Genomic DNA, 22490 nt, shown 5'->3' on the forward strand with positions numbered 1-22490 from the left:
ATATAACTAAAAGCAGTTGTAAATGTTTTGCAAATATTACATGCAATAGTAATGTTTCCTGAAGACAGATGTTGCAATTTAATAATCTTAAGTGAGGAGGTTTAATAACTATTTTAGATCATCAGGATAATGTTTAGTGTTCTAGGATAATTATTAAACAATTCTCAGTTTGTTAAATCATCTGATACTCCAGACAAATCCATAGCTTGGTTACTTCTCATATTATCCTGCAACTGCTCAAGGACACAGTAAAGTGGTAGAGGCCAGTCAGGAAAAGAGAGAAAGGAAGAAGAAAATCAAGGATAAAGGGTCAGAGAGCTAAGGAAACAGATTAAAATGAAAGGACTTAGATCAGAGATGGTAAATTTGAAGACTAGATGTGAGCTCTAGCATCCAAATGCATTATATCAAACCTGCAGTTTTTTGTTCTTGTTTTATTGCCTTTTTAAGGTTTGACTGCTAATAATTTCTTAAAGTCAAAAAAGTATCTTACACAAAAATCTCAGATTTCCAGTTTATTTTGAAAATTCAGAATATTTAGTAACACTGGGCTTAATTCCCCCATGACAACAATGGACAAAAGCTTTGTAGAAGTTACCACTTTTATTTATGCTAAAAATTTTGATTATGAACATCTTAAAGCTTATTGTAAATTAGAAAGAAAAATATCTATTCATCTACCTCTAAATTCAATAACTTAATACATTGCCATATTTATTAAGAATAGTTTCCTACATAACGCCAATATTAACACACTGAAAAAAAACTGTAATTTCCTAATGCCATGTTTCCTCAGTTCATATTCAAATTTCCCCATTCTTCCTAAAATGTCATTTATATTCATTTTATTTTTTTTTTTGTTTTTGTTTTTCTGGAGATAGGCTCTTGCCCGTCACTCAGTCTGGAGTGCAGTGGTGTAATCCTGCCTCACTGTAACCTCAAACACTCCTGGGCTCAAGTGATCCTCCAGCCTCAGCCTCCTGCAGAGCTGGGATTACAGGTGCATACCACCAGAACTGGCTAATTTTTTTATTTTACTTTTTGTAGAGACAGAGTTTCACTATGTTGCTCAGGATCTTCTTGCTTTGATCTCCCAAAGTACTGGGGTTACAGGAATGAGCCACCATGCCTGACCTGCATTTATCTTCTTTTCAAGCCGTTATTCAATTAAAACACATGCTTTGTATTTGATTATGTCACTTAAGTCAGTTTTACCCCAGATCAGACCCTCTCTCCCTTTTCTTTTCTTCTGTGACAGTGTTGTTGAAGAGGAATCAGTTGTCTTGTTGACTATAATTTATACCTAATGGGTTAATTAACTCAGGTTAAGTATTTGGGGCAAAAATCATCTAGAAGTGATGGTGCAGACTTTATATTACATCGCATAAAGAGGTGGGTAATTTCTGGTTTTCCTAGCTGGTCACAAAAAGTTTGATACAAGGTTAAGGTCGAGAGCCAACCCCTGTGGATGTGGCATGCTTTCTCCAATTTGCCACAGACCCCACCACTCCTTATTTGTTTTACAATAGCCTAATGAACTCACTTTACCTTGCCTGGGAGGCATATGTGAAATCTGACCGAACATATATCACATACTACAGTCCGGGTGTGTGATAAAAGCATATACTCCTTGTATTAGTTCGTTTTCATACTAGTGTAAAGAACTGCCGGAGTCTGGGTACTTTTTTTTTTTTTTTTTGAGACACAGTTTCACTCTGTTGCCCAGGCTGGAGTGCAGTGGCGCCATCTCGGCTCACTGCAAGCTCCGCCTCCCCGGTTCACGCCATTCTCCTGCCTTAGCCTCCCCGAGTAGCTGGGACTACAGGCGCCCACCACCACGCCAGGCTAATTTTTTGTATTTTTAGTAGAGACGGGGTTTCACCGTTTTAGCCGGGATAGTCTCGATCTCCTGACCTCGTGATCCGCCCGCCTTGGCCTCCCAAAGTGCTGGGATTACAGGCGTGAGCCACCACGCCCGGCCAAGTCTGGGTACTTTATAAAGGAAAGAGGTTTAATTGACTCACTGTTCAGCATGGCCAGGGAGGCGGCAGAAAACTTACAATCACGGCAGAAGGTGAAGGGGAAGCAAGACACCTTCTTCACAAGGCAGCAGGAAGAAGTGCCCAGCAAAGGGGTAAGAGTCCTTTATAAAACCATCAGATCTCATGAGAGCTCACTCACTGTGGTGAGAACAGCATGGGGGAAACTGCCTGCATGATTCAATTACCTTCACCTGGTTTCTCCCTTAACACATGGGAATTATAATTCAAAATGAGATTTGGGTAGGGACACAAAGCCTAACCATCACTCCTGTATCCCTAGAACAATAGAATATTGCCTGATACACAAGTGGTGCTCAACAAATACCCATTGAAAGACTGTTGTTAGAAACATCTAAATTAGAAACACCTGGAAGGAACTAGGATGTGCGGAAGATTTTGCAACCCATATTCCTGAACTACATGTAGCTCAGAGAAGCCTTTTGTCCTTATATAGAGAGAACAAACTGGAGAGGCTGCCAGCTCTAGGGAATGGTTTTTTTCTTTGAACTGGAAAGAAAGGTACAATCCCAGTGGAGAAATTTAAAAAAAAAAGAGGAAGAATAAATTTAAGATTCTGTGGCAGTCAAGGGTTTTTGTTATGAAGGGCCTGATGCAGATTGGGCTTTCCAGAGCAGATACTGAGATGGAATATGACATGCAGGTGATTTATTAGGATTAATACTTCTGAAAGGAAGAGGGCAGAAGCAGAGTTGGGCAGAGGGAGAAATTGGATTGTGATGCAATCTCAATCAACCCCTGAGGGAGTTCTAGAGCATATATGGCCCATCAGAGTTATTTTCCAATTATCTGGCTGAGTCTCTATACCCCAGCCTCATTCAGTCACAGGACAACAACTAACTCAGCAAAGGAATGGCCTTGACTGAGGCAGCTTTCAGCAGTCCAGACAAATTCTGAAGGAGCTGGCTGCTGAAAGCCACTTACTGAAGATGCTTCCAGGAGCTGGAGAAATAAGTTCTGCTTGAAAGAGGAACTGAGTGGTATAGCCATCTGTCTGCCTCGGACCCCACATTTAAAATTCTGCTCTTATCTCTAAATGAGGCTGTGGAAATAGTTACTGAAGTATTCTTTTGCTAAGAATTAGTTGACTAATTGTAAACACTCAAATTATACTGTAATTTTTTTCAAACTTGTTTTAGTATTTATTAGTTAGGAATCTCAAAAAGTACAAAATAAAATGGTCCAGGCATCTCTCAAATTTTACAAGGCTTTGGTATTGCTTGAATGTCCCACAGGATACAAAATTGAGCCCATTTACATGGTTGTAAATTGCTTTGGCATTCTGAATTAAAGACATCCTACAAATGTCAATGATGTACTGAAGATCTAGCTCTAGAAAGATAGATTGGCATTAGTGCCAAAGGGAAATAAATGGAGAAAGCTGTATTAGTTTCCTATTGCTGTTATAACAAATTGCCACAAACTTGGTTGTTACAGCAATGAAAATTTATTGGTTGACAGTTCTGGAGGCCAGAAGTTGAAAATCAACATCACTAGGCTGAAATCAAGGGGTCAGCAGGGCTGCACTCCTTCTGGAGACTCTAGGGAGAATCCATTCTGTGTTTCTTCCAGTTTCTGGTGGCTGCAGACCTTTCTTGGCTTGTGTCTGCATTACTCCAATCTCTGTATTCATGGTCACTCTGTCTTCTATTCTGCTGTGTGCATACAATCTTCCTATTACTTTTCTCTTTTAAGGATAAGTATGATTGCATTTAGGGCCCACACCCATAATTCAGGGTAATCTCTCCATTTCAGGATACTTAATCACATCTCCAACTCCCCCACTTCTCCCCACTGCTGGGCCCAATAAGGTAAAATTGACAGGTTCCAGGGATCAGAATGTGAATAACTTTGGGGAGGCCATTATTCAGTCTACCATAGTGTAGCTTCTCAGTCTTTGCTTTAGCTCTCATTAGGCTGCAGACTTTGCTTTCTACCTACTGCAACAGCAGGACCCAAAAGGACACCCTATGTAAAGTGAAAGGATACCCTATGTCCAGGGTGGGCCTCATGGTGAAAAAACTAGAATTTCAACCTCCAGCATTCTGAGACCCACTTTAGGAAGGCCACCTTTGTGAGGGCAGGACTTTTGCTGTATTTCAATACTATAAGAGGACCAGGTTGACAGTGAAGAACACAATAAAAATTGGCTTGTACCACATTTGACTATTGAAAGATATTTTTTAGAATACACATTACTCTAGATTTACTAGAATAAAAAAGTTTCTAGATGCCCTGACACCAGTTTCTAGCTATTTCTCATATGTCAAGTTGTTTCATTCTCAGAAGCTTGGCTAGCAGTTAGGCAGGAAGGGAACAGGATTATTTATTTACAGCGTGGCCTAGAGAATTTTTAAATAATACACTTCCCATTAAATTGTAAAATTTCTCCTTGATGGATGTTACATTTAACCATTCTCTCCTTCTACTTTACGCCTCCCTAAAGAGCTCTTTCAAAAATGAACTTTAATTTGTAACTGAAGGATAACAGAACAAAGATTCTCTGCTTTCCTGTCTTCCATTTTTCAGGCTTTATATGATGATTTTGCTGATAGAGGAGGAATGAAGGAGATTTGCTTTTCAGGCCAAGGAACAGCACCTGTTACCCTCTGGCCTATGCTCTGTGCGTGTAAAAAACTTTCCTCTTGGCTTAGCAGAAATTAGGTCAATGCCTACATGTTTGAAGGCTAAGATACAACATCCTCACTTTAAAGCTAATCATGTACAGACATAAATCCTGTCTGTTGCTATTGTTATGCTGTTTTTGCTATTCAAATTCATTCATTTTCTTTTTTTAAAATCATGTTATAACATTATAAACAGTGGTCAAGTTTATTTTAAGCATTTACTGCTGAGATTTAAACCATTTCCAGGTTATATAAAATGTATTCAGATGTGGGACTGAACAAATCTCCAGTTTCTTGGGTTATTTACCATTGGTTCAGTTACCTCTTTCACTAGGATGATAACTAAGCTTTACTCTGAAAAGCTGAATTCTCTATTTTGTTTCAGCTCCCACAACAGAACTTAATACTTATTCATGTTCTCTGCAAGAGTTTCTTGGGACATTTCTGCTTACCCACACTTTCCTGCTGTTATTAAATAGGTGGCTATGTTCCAGAGACAACATTATTGAGTTTACATTATGAAAATTTATAAAAGCTAGTTTTCAGTGCTACCCTGTCCCAGGGACAAAGTGGATTCCTGTTTAGGGAAGGAATACACATTTCCTTTACCCTCAGGCCTTTAAATCTAAGTAAGTTTCTTGGTGCCACTTTATATTGATGCTTTAGACATTTATTTTAAGAATACATTCCCAGTTCTTATAAAGCAGAAATAAAACTTAAAGTACCCATTTAAAAATATATTTAGTATTTTTATTTCATCTTTTCAAGGATCATATATTTTCACTTCATTCTTGATTCTAACTCTTTCAGAATCACTGACATGGAAAGATTTTCTGTTGGATATTTTTAGATGTCTATAACTCTGCTGTTAAGAATTCGTGTATCAAGTAGGTGGAGATCTACCAAATGAGCTGTTCTTATCTTAAGATCCCAAAGTGATTGGTCTGATCCTGCTCAAGGATTTAAGATTTTCTTGGACAGCACTGTTAATCTTTTAGATACTCTATATTAGTTTTGTTTATTGGTAAGTAGTAAACTTGTAGTCTTTAATTTTTGGTTAACTTCTTAGTGTTTGCAACTATTGTTAACAATGGATACGATTATGTTAGATGCATATATAACATAACTTTCTAATTCATGTAAACTACCTAAACTGTACCCAAATTAAAGAATATAATGAAAAAAATATGTGAACATACAAAGCTCAGAACAAAGTGTTTTGGCAGGATATGCTTGTGATCTAGGGAGGAAAACTGACATTGGTAATAGTTCTATTGACAACTTATATACCAGGCATTTTACAAATATTATCCCACTCAATCCCAGTTTGGCCATCTGCTAGGTGTGGTGTCTTCAGCATATTACTTAATAGGTTTGTACCTTAATTTCCCCATTTGGTGGAATGAAACAAAAGAAAAAAAAACAGAAAAACAAAATACTTACATAGTTATGCTGAGGATTAAGGATTACATCACCTTGTTAAGACTAGTGCCTGAGATAAAGTAAACACCATATGAATGTTTGATATTAACATCCTTCACTGATAAGGATACCGAGGTTCTGGAAAGCTAGAGAACCAGACCATGGTTGAAGAACTTACAAGAGATGACTTGAGCTCACACAGTGTTCTCTATACCAAGCAGTTTCTCATTTTAGTCTTGGCTCCATGTTTAGCTAATGTTGTAATACTGCTGAGCTTTGGTTTTGTTTCTTAGAAAATGAAAGTGTGGGGTTAACATTTACAGCCCAGTTCAGTTCTAGTATTCCATACATTTTACTTTGAGCTTTGGTAACCAATGAACACTTACCTGGCTATGGGAAAAATTTGTTTTTCTCTAGAAATGGGCAAGGACTAAAATAGTTGGCTCTAGACATGTGGTGATCATTAAAAGTACATGGTAGACTCATCACTGGAAAGTACCCACATGGTGGGAAAAGGTCAATCCCAGAAGCTGCGTTTAAGATGTCTTAGTAGCAGGTAGCCTACTCTCCAAGTTTGGGAAGGAAAAAACTTCTTGCTCATTTTGTTACACCAGGATATAGGTGACAACCTAAATTCGTCTGACAACACAACAAAAACAAGATAAATGAATGGTGGACCAACTTAGGCTTCTGTAAGACAGGTATGGGTGAAAAAGGGAAAGCTTTTCAGATTTTTGTGGCCATATGAGGATGAAAACCCATGACTGTCCTTGAGTTTTCTTAGGCACAGGAGAAAGGAGTTAGGTGGCACCAAAGTTATTTGACACCAGAAATCTGAAAGACAGTAAACATAGTTTCATTCCAAATGCTGAGTCATTCTTATGGGGAAGAAGAGAAACACTTAAGACTCTCACTTCCCTGAGGTCTTGGTCTTCACTAGATTGCCTTCTGCTGAAATAATTACTTCATGTTTTAAAATTTGGTTATGGTCATTGTTTCCTTTCTCATAACCCCACTTAGTCTTCCTACACTTTTAGTTTTAAACCTCTTTATTTGTTTGATTTGGTTTTAATACTATAAGCAAAAAAGAAGCAGTAGCAAGTGTTTGTTGAGAAGGGAAGGTTTTTGTTTTTTGCTTTTTTTTTTCAATATTGTCTGTGGAGCTGGCATAGTAATTACTGAGAGCAATTCCTAAATTAATGATTATCTCCCACTTCTCCATGAAAGTATCTTAATAATGAAAAGAAAGTGCTTAGGCATATAGGAAATTGTGTTCCTGTTACATACTCTAATCAGCAACCAAACCCTTTCAGTGGAATTCTTGTTATATTAGGAGCAAGACACAGGGCTAGAGATAGGGAGGCAGAAAGCTACTTAGATACTCATAAAAAGAATTGTCAAAAAAGGCTTTAAAGTGTTATGTATTAGGCTAGAAAGAAAAATTTGTTATTATATTTTATTCTCTTTAGAAAAGATTCATGGAATAAATAGGGCATAGTGTTTTATTTTATACGTGTCTGCGTGTCTGTGAAATCTTTTTTTTTTTTTTTTTTTGAGATAGAGTCTCGCCCTGTTGCCCAGGCTGGAGTGCAATGGCGCAATCTCAGCTCACTGCAACCTCTGCCTCCCGGGTTCAAGCAATTCTCCTACCTCAGCCTCCCGAGTAGCTGGGACTACAGGCGTGTGCCACCAGACCTGGCTAATTTTTGTATTTTTTACTAGAGACAAGGTTCCACCATGTTGGTCAGGCTGCTCTTGAACTCCTGACCTCAGGTGATCCTCCTGCCTTGGCCTCCCAAAGTGCTGGGATTACAGGCATGAGCCAACGTGCCCGGCCAGTATCTGTAAAATCTTAAAAGAATGATCATAAACCTCTACATTTTGAAATTAATATTCATTAAAAATTTTTTAATTTCCATTTTTATTTTAGATTCAGGGGCTACATGTGTAGGTTTGTTTCAAGGGTAGATTGTGTGGTGCTGAGGTTTGGACTTCTATTGATTCCATCACCCACATACTGAACATAGTACCAAATTGGAAGTTTTTCAGCCCCTGTCCCCCTCCCTCCTTTTGGATTCCCCAGTGCCTATTCCCATCTTTATGTCTGAGTGAAACCATGATTTAGCTCACACTTACAAGTGAGAACATGTGATACTTGGTTTTCCGTTCCTACATTAATTTGCTTAGGATAACGGCCTGCAGCTGCATCCATATGCTGCAGCTGCATCCATGTTGCTACAAAGTGATTTTGTTCTTTTTTAGGGCTGTGCATTTTTAAGAATTAACAACTTTGAAAATATGCTCTAAATAACTTATGCTCTAATTGCAAGTCAGCAATGTTTTATTGGAGAAAATTATCTACTATACAACAGTTTCCTATTTATTTTATTCAAGTCAATAGTTGAGATTAGATGTGTGTGTGAAGAGTGGGAGAGTGGGAACTATAGAGCAGAGGTGCACGGTCTTGAAAAAGAAGATTCAGAGTAAATTGTATGCTGATCAGGTGAAGCTTCTTTCCTTGTCTGTGCCAATTGACCCCACTCTCATGCACACCTTTTTCCTTCTGTGTCCTTCCTGAATCCCACCAGATGCCAACATCTTTCTGCTGTCCTTTGGTTGTTCTGGGCCCCAAATTTGGCAAGAGGAATCACGTCCAGTGCTCCTGACTTTTCTCAGGAAAAGGTGGTTAGTGAAACCACCTTTGCAAAATTATGACCTAGACAGTGAAAGAGATCTAACTTAACCGACTGCAACTTGTTTCTAACCTACAAGCTGTCCTTGTTCATTCCTGGGCGTAGGCTGAACTAACTTTGGGAAAAACTTAGTTTACAGTTTATAGTTTTAACAAAGGTGGTAACAGCCCATTCCCAAAGCAGACCTCCCTCTTGCCTGGGGACTAGATTGCCTTTGTAGGACTAACAGCCACAAAAGATTAGAAACTATGGTTAAGGAGTCATTCTGACGCTCCCTAAACTGCTTCTAAGATCAGTGCTTGAGATATTTTGCAGACCCTGCACTTGACGGATCAGCTGGTACCACCTAGATCAATAAACTGACTCCTCTGACCTTGTGGCCCTCCACCCAGGAACTGACTTAGTGCAAGAAGACAGCTCCAACTCCCTATGATTTCATCCCTGAGCAATCAGCACTCCTGGCTCACTGGCTTCCCCCAACCCACCAAGTTGTCCTTAAAAAATCCGCTCCACGAATGCTCCGGAGTCTGATTTGAGTAATAATAAAACTCTGGTCTCCCGCACAGCTGGCTTTGCGTGAATTACTCTTGCAATTCCCTTGTCTTGATCAATCGACTCTGTCTAGGCAGCGGGCAAGGTGAACCCCTTGGGCGGTTACACTAGCTAGCAGTGTGACTAGGACTAGTGGGGAAAATAATCAGCTGACATAGTATGGATTGGACCAGATCGCTCACCTAAGCATTCATTTCAAATCAAGAAACATTTAAACATCAGTTATATTCAGGCACTATGCTAGGCACTAGAGTACAAAAGTGAGTAACTGATGGTCCCATTTCCCAAGCACTGAACTGATCTGGGATAATCAGTGAGAAGGAAATCCAGGACTGGCACCCAACTCAACCAGATTATTCCTTTTCTGGGTAACATGTTGCATTTCTAGATAAATGATGAGGGTTTGAAAAAAATGATAAAAATATTGGTTTGATTTGTCAAACTAAAGAAAAAAGAACTGAGGCATACTTAATATAACCAGTCTCATGATGTTGCCCAGTCACAAGTTTTTATTTATTTATTTTTTGAGATGGAGTCTCACTCTGTTGCCCAGGGTGGAGTTCAGTGGTGCCATCTCAGCTCACTGTAACCTCTGCCTCCCAGGTTCAAGTGATTCTCCTGCCTCAGCTTCCTGAGTAGCTGGGATTACAGGTGTTTGCCACCATGCCCGGCTAATTTTTGTATTTTTAGTAGAGATAGGGTTTCACCATGTTGGTTAGGCTGGTCTTGAACTCTTGACCTCGTGATCTGCCCACCTCAGCCTCCCAAAGTGCTGAGATTACAGGCGTGACCCACTGCGCCTGCCCGGCCACAAGGAAGTTTTTAAAGGAAAAGAAGAGGCAGTTTCTAAATTGTTTACCAATAATTTACATAAAAAAACAAACTATTAATTGTCTATAGATTGTTCTTCGTATCACAAATTCCAGGAACATGAAGATATGGTTGGGTAGTCAGTCATGAACAAAATGCCTTTAAACAATCGCCTCTGAGCATGAGTGTGGGGGGTGCAACTTATGTCCCATATTCAAGGTCTCTCTGGGCCTGATAAATTTTGCATACCTCACATTGCTCAAATGCTCTGAACTATTTTTCTTTTCTCAACTACAATTTCCTTTTTCTGGTTGCTCATGATTCAACTGGGGGAGCTTTTAAACCGTGGTTCTCAAACTTTAATGTGCATCAGAACTACCCAAAGGGCTTGTTAAATCTGGGTAGCTCAGCCCCAGCCCCAGAGTCTATGAATCAGGTCACTGGAGTACAGTTTCTGTCAAGTTCTCAGGTGATGCTGATGCTGCGGGCTCCAGTGACTACACTTTTAGAGCCAGTTTTAAAATACAAGGACTTGCAGATCCCACGTCCAGACTGACTCATTGGACTTGGGGATGGAAATCTGGCATTCCACCCCTCCCTGCCCCCTCCCCCCAATTTTAATGTGTCCAAGGGTGAGAATCATTGCTCCTCTGTGGACTATGGATGGTTCCCTGAAGTTACTGAGTTTGGGATTTAATAAATATATGCATTCCTCTGGGTCAACTACAGGAATTCTGCGGTATTTAAGGACATTAAATGAGTGACTTAATACTTTATTTAAAAAAATACCACTGCTTTTTGGTTCACACTAATTTTCTTCCTTCTTTTGGAAAGGCATTTCCGTCCATCTCCTGGATATTTTCCAATACCACGATAGAAAGGTTATTAGTACAGCACCCAGAGGTCTTCGGAGCAAAGCTGTTAAAGAAGTGGGGTCCATTTGAGCCCCAACTTTGCCTTCCTTAGGTCCCCTTGGGCTTGTCTAGCCCTAGGAGTTCCAACAAGTAAGCTGGGCATGCTCAGTGGGCAGGGTCGTTTTTTTTTTTTGGGTGGCGGGGGGTTGCAAGTGGGAAGCCTGCTGTTCAGCTGCCGGGGCTCTCCGCCTCCCCCCACCTGTATGAGGCTGGGTCTGGGGAACCTGTGCTCAGCATTCCACCCCCTGGAGCTTGGGCTTGGTCTTCCCTGCGGGTCCCTGCGCTGACATTCAGGCGGGGAGCCAGGAGGCCTGGCGCGCCTCCAGAGCCCGCCGGGGGAGCCGGGCGAGGGTTCTGGGCTCTGACGGCGGGGTCGCAGGGTCGCCCGCCTCCTGGACACGTCTGTAGGCCTAGGGAAGCCTGCCGGCCGGGAGGTACAGAGTAGGAGAAGCCAGATCCCAGGGCGGACAACGAGAAGTCGTCAGGTAAGCCAGCCCCGCCAGCGTGCCGGCGGACGAGTGTCTCCTCTCCCGCAGGCAGATGGCCAGGGCGGCCCGCATGGGCGAGGGCACAGGAAATCGGACACCGCCACCGTCTTCCCCAGCCTGGCCTAGCTCAGGCTTTCCAGTCCGCCAGCCCGCTGGCAAGGCGGGGCGGAGGTCTGGAGTCCGGCATCGCCGAGGCACAAAGCAGGAACTGCAGCCAGGGGCGAGGGCCCTTGCGTGTGGCGCTGCGCGACCCCACCCGGCGGCAGGACCCGCGTCCCCGTCTAGTCACGTTCATTGGGCCACGGAGACCACCTCGCTCGCCGCCCGCTGTTGGCTTTTCCCTCCCACACCCCCGCCAACCCCGGCCCCGGTTCCCGCCCCCACTTCCGCGTTTCCCCGCTGGGCCGGAGGAGCCTGGGCCCGAGGTATCCGGGCAGGAGGTGGCGGCCTCGCCGCCCTGGTCAGGCCTCCGGGAGGGAGCAGGCGCGGGAGCGGGAGGAGGAAGTCGGGAAGAGGGAAGGCGGGGGCGCGGCCCGCCCGGCGCTCGAGTTACACCCGCCCAGCCCGCCTCGAGTGACAGCCCCGCGCGCCTCGCTGGGAGCACCCGGGCCGAGGCTCTGATTCTGGGGGGAGGCCGACTCCACCCTGGCTGGAGGAACTGGGTGCTCCTGCCCGCTGGCCCCTCGCGCGTGAGGATCTATCTCAGGTGTGTGCTTCCTGGGAGACCCCTTCCCCCGCCTCTAGTATTCTAGGGGGGGAGTGGTCCCTTTCTGACCCGGGCGAGTGTTCTGGGACTCCAGTCTTGGCGGTAGGTGGTGGCGGGAAACGGGAAAGATTTAGAATTTCTTCCCACCAGCAGAAGATGGATTCGCTCTTCTCTAGGGTTTCGTTGTTTATGTTTTGGAGGCGGCATTTGTAAAATAGTAAAGTGGCAGGACTTTTGGGGCGAGGGTTGGTACCCCATTGAAAGTTCATGCAAACTTTTAGCTTGTAGATGCGGCTAGTCTGATAAGGATTGTTGCTCCCTTCCGAAGCAAGAGTGAGAACGAGTCTGGAGGAGGGCTGAGGCTTCTTTGAGAAACTCAGCTGCTGGCGTGTGACCGTCCTAGGAGGAAATGGAAGGTGCACACTGATAACTTAAAACAGCCTCCACTCCCTATGTAGTAACTTCTACCAGCAAAAATAGATTTGCAAAGAGTGCTTTGGCAGGAAGGTGTAGCTGGGTGAATGAAGTGCTGCTCTTAGCAGATGGTCTCTAGTCTGGCTTCCACCTTGTGCAGTGGAATATTCACTCCCAGAAGAGTTCCAGAGTAATTTACAAACACAAATTCTTGCAAAGTGTTAGTGACATGGGCAACCCAAATCACACACAACACATTATAAATATCATAGGAGGCAGCTATAGAAATAGCAGCTAGTCAACTTATACTTGTATAAATAGGTGAGGGAAGGAAGTTAGTAAGTGACAGGGAGTCTTTATTGCTAAAACAAAACTGTTAGTATTTTGCATGTGTTCCAAGTTTAAAGAGATGTGAAGTTTCTTTTTGGCGTGTGGACGGTGCTGGCAGCTGTCACACTGGGCCCAGGCACTTCTTCGTAGCTACTGACCACTCTAGTCCCAGTCCTACAGTTCTTGCTGGCTACCACATGACATCTGGATGCCATTGCCCAATGGAGACCGTGTGCAGTCTGGGGAACCTTGTGATGTGGATGTTGAAACCCCCCTCTGTTTCTCACAGGGGCGTTATGTCAAATTACAACACTCCCTTGACTTTTACAAATCAACTCGTGAAATAATACAGCAATATTTTAATGAATAAATGGGTAAATATGGGGTTTTGGGTTTGAGAACCAACAATGGATTCATTGCAACTGTCCATTCTCATAGCTTATAGAGTCACTTTATTTTATAAAGAAATTCTAAACAGCATTAGAGCTCTGCTTCCTTCTTTCTCCCTTGTGATTCATTCAAAGATGCAATGGCTTGGTTCAGGAATTGACAAAAGGGCCACAGTGTTACCAATTGTTAGTGAGTGTTACCACCCCCTTTAGTTTTTTTTGTAACTATTTAATCTCATTGTAGATATTTTAAAAGATTTGATGATTATTGTGCATAACTCATGTTGGCAAACTATTATAACTCTGAACTTATCCTGTTTGGTTGTTTTCTTTCATCTCTAGCGTGTAAGTTCTATGAGAGTAGCAGGGCTTGTTCTGTCTTGCATACTTTCAAAACTCTAATGCCTGGAGTGGTGACTAGCTTGTAATACACCCTCAATAAATGTTTTCTCAATGAGTGACCTCCAATGCCTAGAGGGGTGACTAGCTTGTAATACACCCTCAATAAATGTTTTCTCAATGAGCGACTGAACTGTGGAACAAACTCCAGCTGAGGGTAGTTGTGGAGCGGGGAGCCAAAGACTTTGGCCTTAGGTCATCTTTTAAAACTCAGCCTCAATTGTCTCATTGGCAAAATATGGATAATAAATGCTATGACGTGTGTAAAATTGCTAGCAATGTACCTGGCAAGTAGTAGACTTCAAAAGACTAGCTTCCATCCTATATTTTTCCTTCTTATACTCAAGTAGGAAAATATGGGCAAAGAATGTAGTTAGCTTGAAAATTTGGGCAAAGAATTCTTGCATGTTGTGCATGAATTATCCGTACATTTTTTTCGGTTAGTTGAGTGTGTTGGGATGGGGAGAGGAGAGGCGAGTTAGTGGTAGCTATGGTTATTAGAGAAGGGAAGCAATTTTCAGATCAGTATCTAATTTCTCAGTTTTAGTTTTTGAATGTGATGATGTTTCTGTTTAGGTTTTCCAAAACTTGATTCTTTCTGTTTGTCAACACCTGGACTCATGGGGCTATCCTAAGTGCAGAAACAACACTTCAGAAAGAGGACTAGAAATCAAATATATGAACACTAGTCTTCTTAAATGAAATTTTCTGTATTCTTGTGCAGCATTATATTGTGTAATAAGTGCTAAATAAAAAAATAGTTAACCTCTTTTGAGAAGCTTACAGTTGTTTAACAAGGTAAAACATAGATGGAAAACAATTGGAGACCAACATAAGACCTCGTACAATCATTTTTCCAGTGGTAGGATGTTGGCCAGAACTGATGTGATTATGAAGGAAAAGGTTAATATTGGCTCAAGTAGTTGGAGACAGCTTCCTGGTGAAGGGAATGCCACTTCAGTAACAGAGAGACTTAACATGTCCTGAAGACTATTGGAAAGATCACCTTTGTTTTAGGAATGTTTGCTATTGTGTACTTCATTGTATGAAAAAGCCAACATAATCTTGTACTTTCAAAAATGATCTTTCTGTTGAAAATTATATGGGAAATCTTCAGTAAAATTCTGCATATGCAAGAAATCAATACTTGTCACTATGTCTGTGAAGTTTAAAGCTCAGGATTGGCGTGAAAATGGTAACTCTTCATTCTTGTCCACCTTTAACACACTTGCTTAAAAATGTGTCAGATAGGCCAGGTGCAGTGGATCACACCTGTAATCCCAGCACTTTGCTTTGGGAGGCCAAGGCAGGCAGATCGCTTGAGCCCAGGAGTTTGAGACCAGCCTGGACAACATGGAAACCCCATCTTTACAAAAAAATACAAAAATTAACCAGGCATGGTGGCACGTGCCTGTAGTCCCAGCTACTTAGGAGGCCAAAACGTGAGAATTGCTTGAGACTGTCTCAGAAAAAAAAAAAAAAAAAAAAAAAAAACAAAAAAAAAAAAACAAGCCAGGCAGGCACAGTGACTCACACCTGTAATCCCAGCACTTTGGGCTGGGAGGCCTAGGCAGGCGGATCACCTGAGGTCAGGAATTGGAGACCAGCCTGGCCAACATGGCAAAACCCTGTCTCTACTAAAAATACAAAAATTAGCCGGGCATGATCGTGGGCACCTGTAATCCCAGCTACTAGGAAGGCTGAGGCAGGAGAATTGCTTGAACCCAGGAGGCAGAGGTTGCAGTGAGTCAAGATTGTGCCATTGCACTCCAGCCTGGGCGACAGAAGGAGAATCTGTCTCAAAAAATAAATAAATAAATAAATAAATAAAGTGTCAGATGGCCTGCCAGTTATTCTATTCAGTTTTGACAATGGGGTATATTTTATATATTTTTTACCTGGAGTATAAGGAGAAAATTATTAGTCATCAGGGTTGAGACCCCTCAACCCGCTAAATTCAAAATTGTTACTTGGGAGATAGAGAAGAACTGAATGGAACTAAACTAAGAAGATATTATTAAGTAAGTTTTAGTTGCTCATCAAAATACTTAAATAATTCCATCATGTCTTAAGACTTTTGAGATAAGAAGAAAACTTGGAAGTGGTATGTTAGGGGAAGAAGAAACTAATAAAGTGTGTTTTACTTTTCTTTGTTTTAGAATTGTTGACATGATGCGTGAAAGAAATGTATGAGGAAGATATGATCAAACTCAACTCCAAGTGAGAAAGACAAGGGCCAATGTGACTGCAAGCCAGGAAATCTCTAACAATTTTAGAATAGACTTCTTCCTGTACTATATGACCAGGGAGTGATCTCAGGAACATTTAAGAAAAAGAAAGGAAGAGATGTTGATGGTTTGAATACCTGAGGATGTTTAGATAATGATTGTGGTCAGAATGCATCCAGAATTCTAATTTGTGTCCTGATGTGAATGTGACCATGTTTGTTTGTTTGTTTGTTTTTGTTTTCCCTTTGGCTTGTGTTCTGGGATTTGATCTCTCGTTAGAGACTCTTACTAGTTCTTTGAGTTGTGTATTTCTTTCTATATCATATCGGTGCTCTTATTTCCTATTTTTCAGTAGAGAATTTTATGTTCTTTCAAAACCAAATTTCTGATTTATGCAGCAAAAACATGATTTCTGATTTATTTAGGTCAAGCTTCGGTTCAATTAGTTCACAAAATTAGTGGGAAAAATTGGTTAATAGATGTCTCTCCTTCTCAAGTACAAATGTATTGTGACATATTGTGATATAGTAAGAAAGATACTTGTCCCCAGTTCTGACTAAAGAACTTTTAAGACCCTTCGAATCTCTGGAATGATGAGTGTCTTTTTCTACACTGCTGAGATGACAGGTGACTCTTGGTAGAACCCTAGATAGCTTCAGGATGGAGATGGGAGCTGGTGCCAGAGGAACCAACTATGTAATTAGAGGGTTGGAATTTCAGCTTCACTCCAGACCTCCGGGGAGAGGAGAGGGGCTGGAAATCCAGTCAGTCACCAGTGGACAATAATTTAATCAATCATGCCCACATCATGGAGCCTTCATAAAAACCTTAAATTTTGGAAAGCTTCTGAGTTGGTGAATACATGGAGGTGCTGGAAGGAAGGCATGCCCAGAGAGGACACCCCTTCTCCCATTTCTTGCCCTGTGTACTTCTTCATCTGGCTGTTGATTTGTGTCTTTTTTAATACCTTTTGTAATAAACTGTTATATGTAAGTAGGCCTGTTGTGGTGGCTCACACCTGTAAGCCCAGTACTTTGGGAGGCCAAGACAGGAGGATAACTTGAGCTCAGGTGTTTGAGATCAGCCTGGGCCACGTGGAGAGACCCTGTCTCTACAAAAAATTAAAAAAGAAAAAACTAGCCAGGTGTGGTGGTCCATGCTTGTAGTCCTCACTACCCTGGAGGCTGAGGTGAGAGGATCTCTTGGGGCCAGGAGGTCAAGGCTGCAGTGAGCTGCGTTAGTGCCACTACGCTCCAGCCTGAGTGACAGAGCAAGACCTTGTCTCAAAAAAAGAAAAAAGATAAAAAAGTAAGTAAATTTCTGTTAGCCACTATAGCAAATTATCAAATTTGAGGATGGGGTTGTAGGAACCCCTGATTTGTAGCTAAGTCTAACAGAAGTGTGGATATCCCGGGGCCCACTATTTTTGACTGGCATCTGAAGTGGAGGGCAGTCTCATGGGACTGAGCCCTTACCCTGTGGCGTCTGCACAAACTCTGGGCAGTTAGTGTCAGATTGAGTTAAATGGTAAAACATTCTAGTTGGTGCCCCTAGACAGAGAGTTTCTTGGTGTGGAAAACCCATACATTTGGTGTCAGAAGTATTGTGACTAGAGGAATAAGTTTTCTTTACATATGTATTGACAAAACTTAAAGACATTATTTGGGTACATCTTTTAATTATTCAGGCAAAATGAAAGAATTACTTATGTACTGTATTTTTGACAGTGAGATACTGTCAAAGTCTGGGTACTTTAGAACAATGATTGTTTGATTTAGATTTTTCAAGCCTTATGTTTTTTGAATACTAGTATGTCCTCTGTGGAATCTCATATTTGATTGTGCACATATATCCTTCTATAAAAGGGTTTAATATAGTGGGAAAAACAAACCTGACAAGCTATGACAGAGAGACTGTTTTCTGAAATCGAGATTTCTAGAAGCTGCTACTGTCAAATGAGATAACCTCTGAGTATTACTTGGTGACAATGGGGTGACATGCTTAGAATGCTTTGCTACTTGTATCTGCTGATGACCACCAAGGCCAAGTAGAAACTTTAGATAGCTATATACTTATGTGGAACAAAAGTTTATGTTCAGGGTAAACTTATTAGGAAAAACTTTGGTCAAGATTTCAAGAAAACATAAAATAAGCTTCTAAGTGTACTTCAAAAGTGATGAAAATAATGCAGTTCAGAGTACTAGGTTCTCAAAAGTTGTTTTCTTTTCATTTTAACTGAATAAAAGAAAGGATATTGGCTAAGTGTTGGCTCATGCCTGTAATCCCAGCACTTTGGGAGGCCAAGGTAGGAGGATCACTTGAGCCCAGGAGTTTGAGACCAGCCTGGGCAACATGTGAGACCCTGTCTCTACAAAAAATAAAAAATAAGCTGCGTCTGGTGGTGCGTGTCTCCTACTTAGGAGGCTGAGGTGGGAGGATCCTTTGAGCCTAGGAGGCCGAGGCTGCAGTGAGCCATGATTGCATTACTGCACTCCAGCTTGGGCAACAGAGCAAGACCCTGTCTCAAAAAAATAAAAAAGTAATAAAAAATAATAAAAAGAAAGGATGTTTTGTTTCATTGTGGTAATGCCCAAACTGCTTTGATCATGTCACTCTCTCTGCTCCATGCTTCCATGGATTACTCTGCCCTATTTGATCACGTTCTAAATATTTGTCTTGGAATTAATTCAGAGACTCCTTCATTCTCACCCTAATATTAAGGTGCTGTCCTTATCTTCTCTATGATCCAGTCATATTGGACTGATTGGAATTCCCTAAATATAAAAGTAGGAATTCCCTACTGTTGTCCCTATTCTGATGTTCTTCCTTCTATTTCACTTTTTGAAATCCTAACAAACCTTGAGTGCCCTGACCCCTGGCTACTAGTTTTATGACATTTTCCCTCACAGCCCCAGTCAGAAATGTCTTGTATATTTTCTAAACCCTTTAGCTACTCTTTTTATGCTACTCATAATTCCCTTATAGATGCTTGTCTCCTGTAATTATTTGCAAGCATGCATAATTTTCTTTCCTATGGAAGATCATGCTGGATCTTACACAATTTTGTAGACCTCACATGCCTAATCCAAGTGCCTTTCATGTGGGTGACACCTAGTAAGCAGTTGTTCATTAATGGTTGCCCCATAATTCAGTCATCCCCAATTCAGCAATAAGTGATAAGAGTGTGCTGGGTGTGATTGGACACCAGATACCACACAGGCAGGTGTATTTCAGGTAATCTATTCAACTGGATACTTTAAGCTTCATCTTTTTTTAGGCATCTCCCTCCCTACACATTTGGCAGTTTTAATCTTTTTATTTTTATTTCAAAATTTTTTTCCCTCCCAAGGTGCTGAGAGGTTTAATATCTTAAGGATATTTAGGAGAGGGAAGGGGCGAAGTGACATTATAAAAGGAATCCTTGAAGAAAATCAGTGGAGGAATCTACAAATAAGGAGGCCACTTAATGTCCACTGAGGACTCAGCACCTCTGTCAGGACACCAGGGCTTCCTTCTCTTCACCAATTTCTCCCTTCCCCCTACTTACCCACCTAATCCAATCTCTTAAGAAAGAATCTGGAAAATGAATTCCTAACAAGATGACTTACAAAAATTACCTTGTCCCCCTTATCAAAGGCGTTGGATTCTATGGGGACAGCGCATTGGGGACCATTTATGTGGGCTAGGTCAAAGGTGGGCAGTGCCTACTTCTGAGCATCCCTGCAGCCACATTATAGCCACTCAAGTGTGGCTTTGGTCACTGTCTGGACCTTTCACTTTTCTCCTTGTCAAATAAGGTGGCTGGACTGGATGAATTTGAAGTCCATGGAGAGCATGAAATGTTTATTTCTCTTGTCCTGCCTAAAAGGAAGCCAGTCATGGCCACTGGGTTCTGTTTGCCTCTGGACCCTGGCCTAGATTTTCCTTTTATTACCTGGAGTTTGGGGTTTCCTTGCTCTCAGCCTCTCCAGGTATAGCATTCACATCTAGAGGCTGCCACATTCCTTTTATCTCTCTTCAGGATTATGCTCATAGGACCTATCATAACAAGTATATTTTCACTTTTTTCTTTCACTGTGTTTGCTAGTATTAACCCCTTTTCCCCATCCCCATCCGCCATTAAGTAGCTGGGATACTTATCTAAAAAATATAGATTCCGCAGGGGGCAGTGGCTCATGCCTGTAATCCCAGCACTTTGGGAGGCCGAGGCAGGTGGATTGCTTGAGGCCAGGAGTTTGAGACCAGCCTGGCCAACGTGGCAAAACCCTGTCTCTACTAAAAATACCAAAATAAGCTAGGCGTGGTGGTGGGTGCCTGTATTCCTAGCTACTCGGGAGGCTGAGGCATGAGAATTGCTTGAAGCTGGGAGGTGGAGGTTGCAGTGAGCGGAGACCACGCCATTGCACTCCAGCCTGGGCAACGGAACAAGACTGTCTCAAAAACAAATACACACACACACACACACACTAACATAATTTTATTTATTATTATTTTTAAAGACAGAGTCTTGCTCTGCTGCCCAGGCAGGAGTGCAGTGGCACATTTATAGCTCACTGCAGCTTTGCACTCCTACGTCACGCGATTCTTCTCCTCAACCTCCTGAGTAGCTAGAATGACAGGTGTGTGCCACCATGCCTGGCTAATTTAAAAAAAATTCTTAGAGACAGTGTCTCACTATGTTGCCCAGGCTGGTCTTGAACTCCTGGCCTCAAGTGATCCTCCTGCCTTTGCCTCAGAAGTGCTGGGATTACAGGCATGAGCCCCTGTGCCTGGCCAGATTCACAGAATTTTAAAATAGGAAGGAGTTTAGCAATTTAACCTAACGTGGTCTTTTTCTTATTAATAATAAACAGCAATGACAAGTATTTATTAAGCAGTTGCCATTTTCTAGGCACTGTGCTGAGTACTTTGTGCACATTTTTTAATGTATCAACAGTGAACCCTGTCATATCAGGGAGCAAAAAGGCACAGAGAAGTTAAGGGACTTAAAGCCATGCATGTGGTTATTTTCTGGTATGGCAGAAACTCCCTTAAAAACTGTTTTAAAAACAATAGAATCGAGAGATAATCCTATTCCTATTTCTGTAATGTATTTCTTGACTTTTGCAACATTGTATTCCACTGCCCAACCATTGAACTGTGCCATTTAACACTTACACTTCCTAATACTTTACCTTGTAGTTCACCAGTTTTCACCAATGATGCTGAACTTGTTTAAATAGTTGCATACATAGCACAGCATGCCTATAATGACATTGCTTATGATTTGACTTGTAGGAATCCACGAAGTTGTTAAAATTTTCTTAGTCTTAATGGATGTAGAAGCAATGTGCAACTTGGTATCAGTCTTCTTTTCTACTCCTATACTTGGGTTTCTGATGGTTATTGTGAAAACGAAAATGATTATGTGTATTGGAGATGTATAAAAATGTATGTTCTCCAGCCTTAGTCATGAGAGAGTTATCTTACCTTTTTCTACACAATACCTTTTTCTATTTCTTGCTGTAGTTTTTTTCAAACTTTCAGCATTTTCTTTGAGTCTTTTATGTCACCCAGGCATTTCTTTATTAAAAGATGATGGTTAGTGGTTAGGGTAGGCTCAACCATCATAACTGAAAGGCCTGAAAATAGATACAAGCTCAAGCACAAGTTTAATTTTTGCTTATATCATGGTCTTTGTTGGTGGATCACTTTCCTTTCAATGATTCAGGCACTCTGGATTCTTCCATTTTATGACTCAGCAATTCCTTAGGGCTTTCTTTTCAACTACAGCCAGCCAGTGGATGGTGAAAGGGAAAGGCAGGAAGCATATCTACTTTCTAAACACACACTTATTTTTTTTGAGATGAGTCTCGCTCTGTTGCCCAGGTTGAGTGCAGTGGGACGATCTCAGCTCACTGCAACCTCTGCCTCCTGGGCTTGAGCGATTCTCCTGCCTCAGCCTCCCAAGTAGCTGGGATTATAGGCATGTGCCACCATGCCCGGCTAATATTTGTATTTTTAGTAGAGATGGGGTTTTGCCATGTTGACCAGGCTGGTCTCGAACTCCTGACCTCAGGCAGTCCGCCCGCCTCAACCTCTCCAAGTGCTGGGATTACAGGTGTGAGCCACTGCGCCTGGCCTTAAACACATAATCTTGAAATGAATGCATTAGTTCTGTTCATATACCATTGGCTGGAAGTCTGTTGTGTAGTGATACTTAGCTGAAAGGGAGATTGGCACATGTAGTCTAGCTGCAAGTCCAGGAAGAAGAGAATATGCATTTTTGATAATGACTTAGCTGTCCCCTTCACAGTGTCCTTGCATTTTTTTTTTTTTTAAGATGGAGTCTGGCTCTGGCACCCAGGCTGGAATGCAGTGGCACGATCTTGGCTCACTGCAACCTCTGCCTCCTGGGTTTAAGCCTCAGCCTCCAGAGTAGCTGGGATTACAGGTACGTGCCACCATGCCTGGCTAAT

At 41.8% G+C, this 22490-nt stretch overlaps 1 protein-coding gene across 5 annotated transcripts in view, besides 4 other annotated features; it reads left to right on the forward strand.

Moving 5' to 3' along the window:
- The window catches only part of GPD2 (glycerol-3-phosphate dehydrogenase 2), a 186123-nt gene that overhangs the window by 23961 nt on the left and 139672 nt on the right, over positions 1 to 22490 (forward strand). Inside the window, exon 1 of one of the 5 annotated variants that reach the window (XM_011510977.3) lies at positions 11049 to 11168. The exons of 1 other annotated variant lie outside the window; for it this stretch is intronic. The gene's annotated coding sequence lies outside the window, so the exon portion shown is untranslated. Of the gene's footprint in view, positions 1 to 11048; positions 11169 to 11310; positions 11564 to 12137; positions 12375 to 22490 lie in introns of those variants that run through there. 3 more of the 5 variants (NM_001083112.3, XM_017003830.2, NM_000408.5) reach the window with 3 other exon arrangements.
- Positions 11240 to 11409: a silencer, noted in NCBI's record as "silent region_12021". NCBI's record gives its function as "represses an Ori minimal core promoter by ATAC-STARR-seq in GM12878 lymphoblastoid cells {active_cell/tissue: GM12878}" and the evidence as "EXISTENCE:reporter gene assay evidence [ECO:0000049][PMID:35858748]".
- Positions 11650 to 11699: an enhancer, noted in NCBI's record as "active region_16664". NCBI's record gives its function as "activates an Ori minimal core promoter by ATAC-STARR-seq in GM12878 lymphoblastoid cells {active_cell/tissue: GM12878}" and the evidence as "EXISTENCE:reporter gene assay evidence [ECO:0000049][PMID:35858748]".
- Positions 11850 to 12259: a silencer, noted in NCBI's record as "silent region_12022". NCBI's record gives its function as "represses an Ori minimal core promoter by ATAC-STARR-seq in GM12878 lymphoblastoid cells {active_cell/tissue: GM12878}" and the evidence as "EXISTENCE:reporter gene assay evidence [ECO:0000049][PMID:35858748]".
- Positions 21776 to 21835: an enhancer, noted in NCBI's record as "active region_16665". NCBI's record gives its function as "activates an Ori minimal core promoter by ATAC-STARR-seq in GM12878 lymphoblastoid cells {active_cell/tissue: GM12878}" and the evidence as "EXISTENCE:reporter gene assay evidence [ECO:0000049][PMID:35858748]".

The sequence above is a fragment of the Homo sapiens genome, chromosome 2 (genome assembly GCF_000001405.40).
Source record: "Homo sapiens chromosome 2, GRCh38.p14 Primary Assembly".
NCBI lineage: Eukaryota > Metazoa > Chordata > Mammalia > Primates > Hominidae > Homo > Homo sapiens.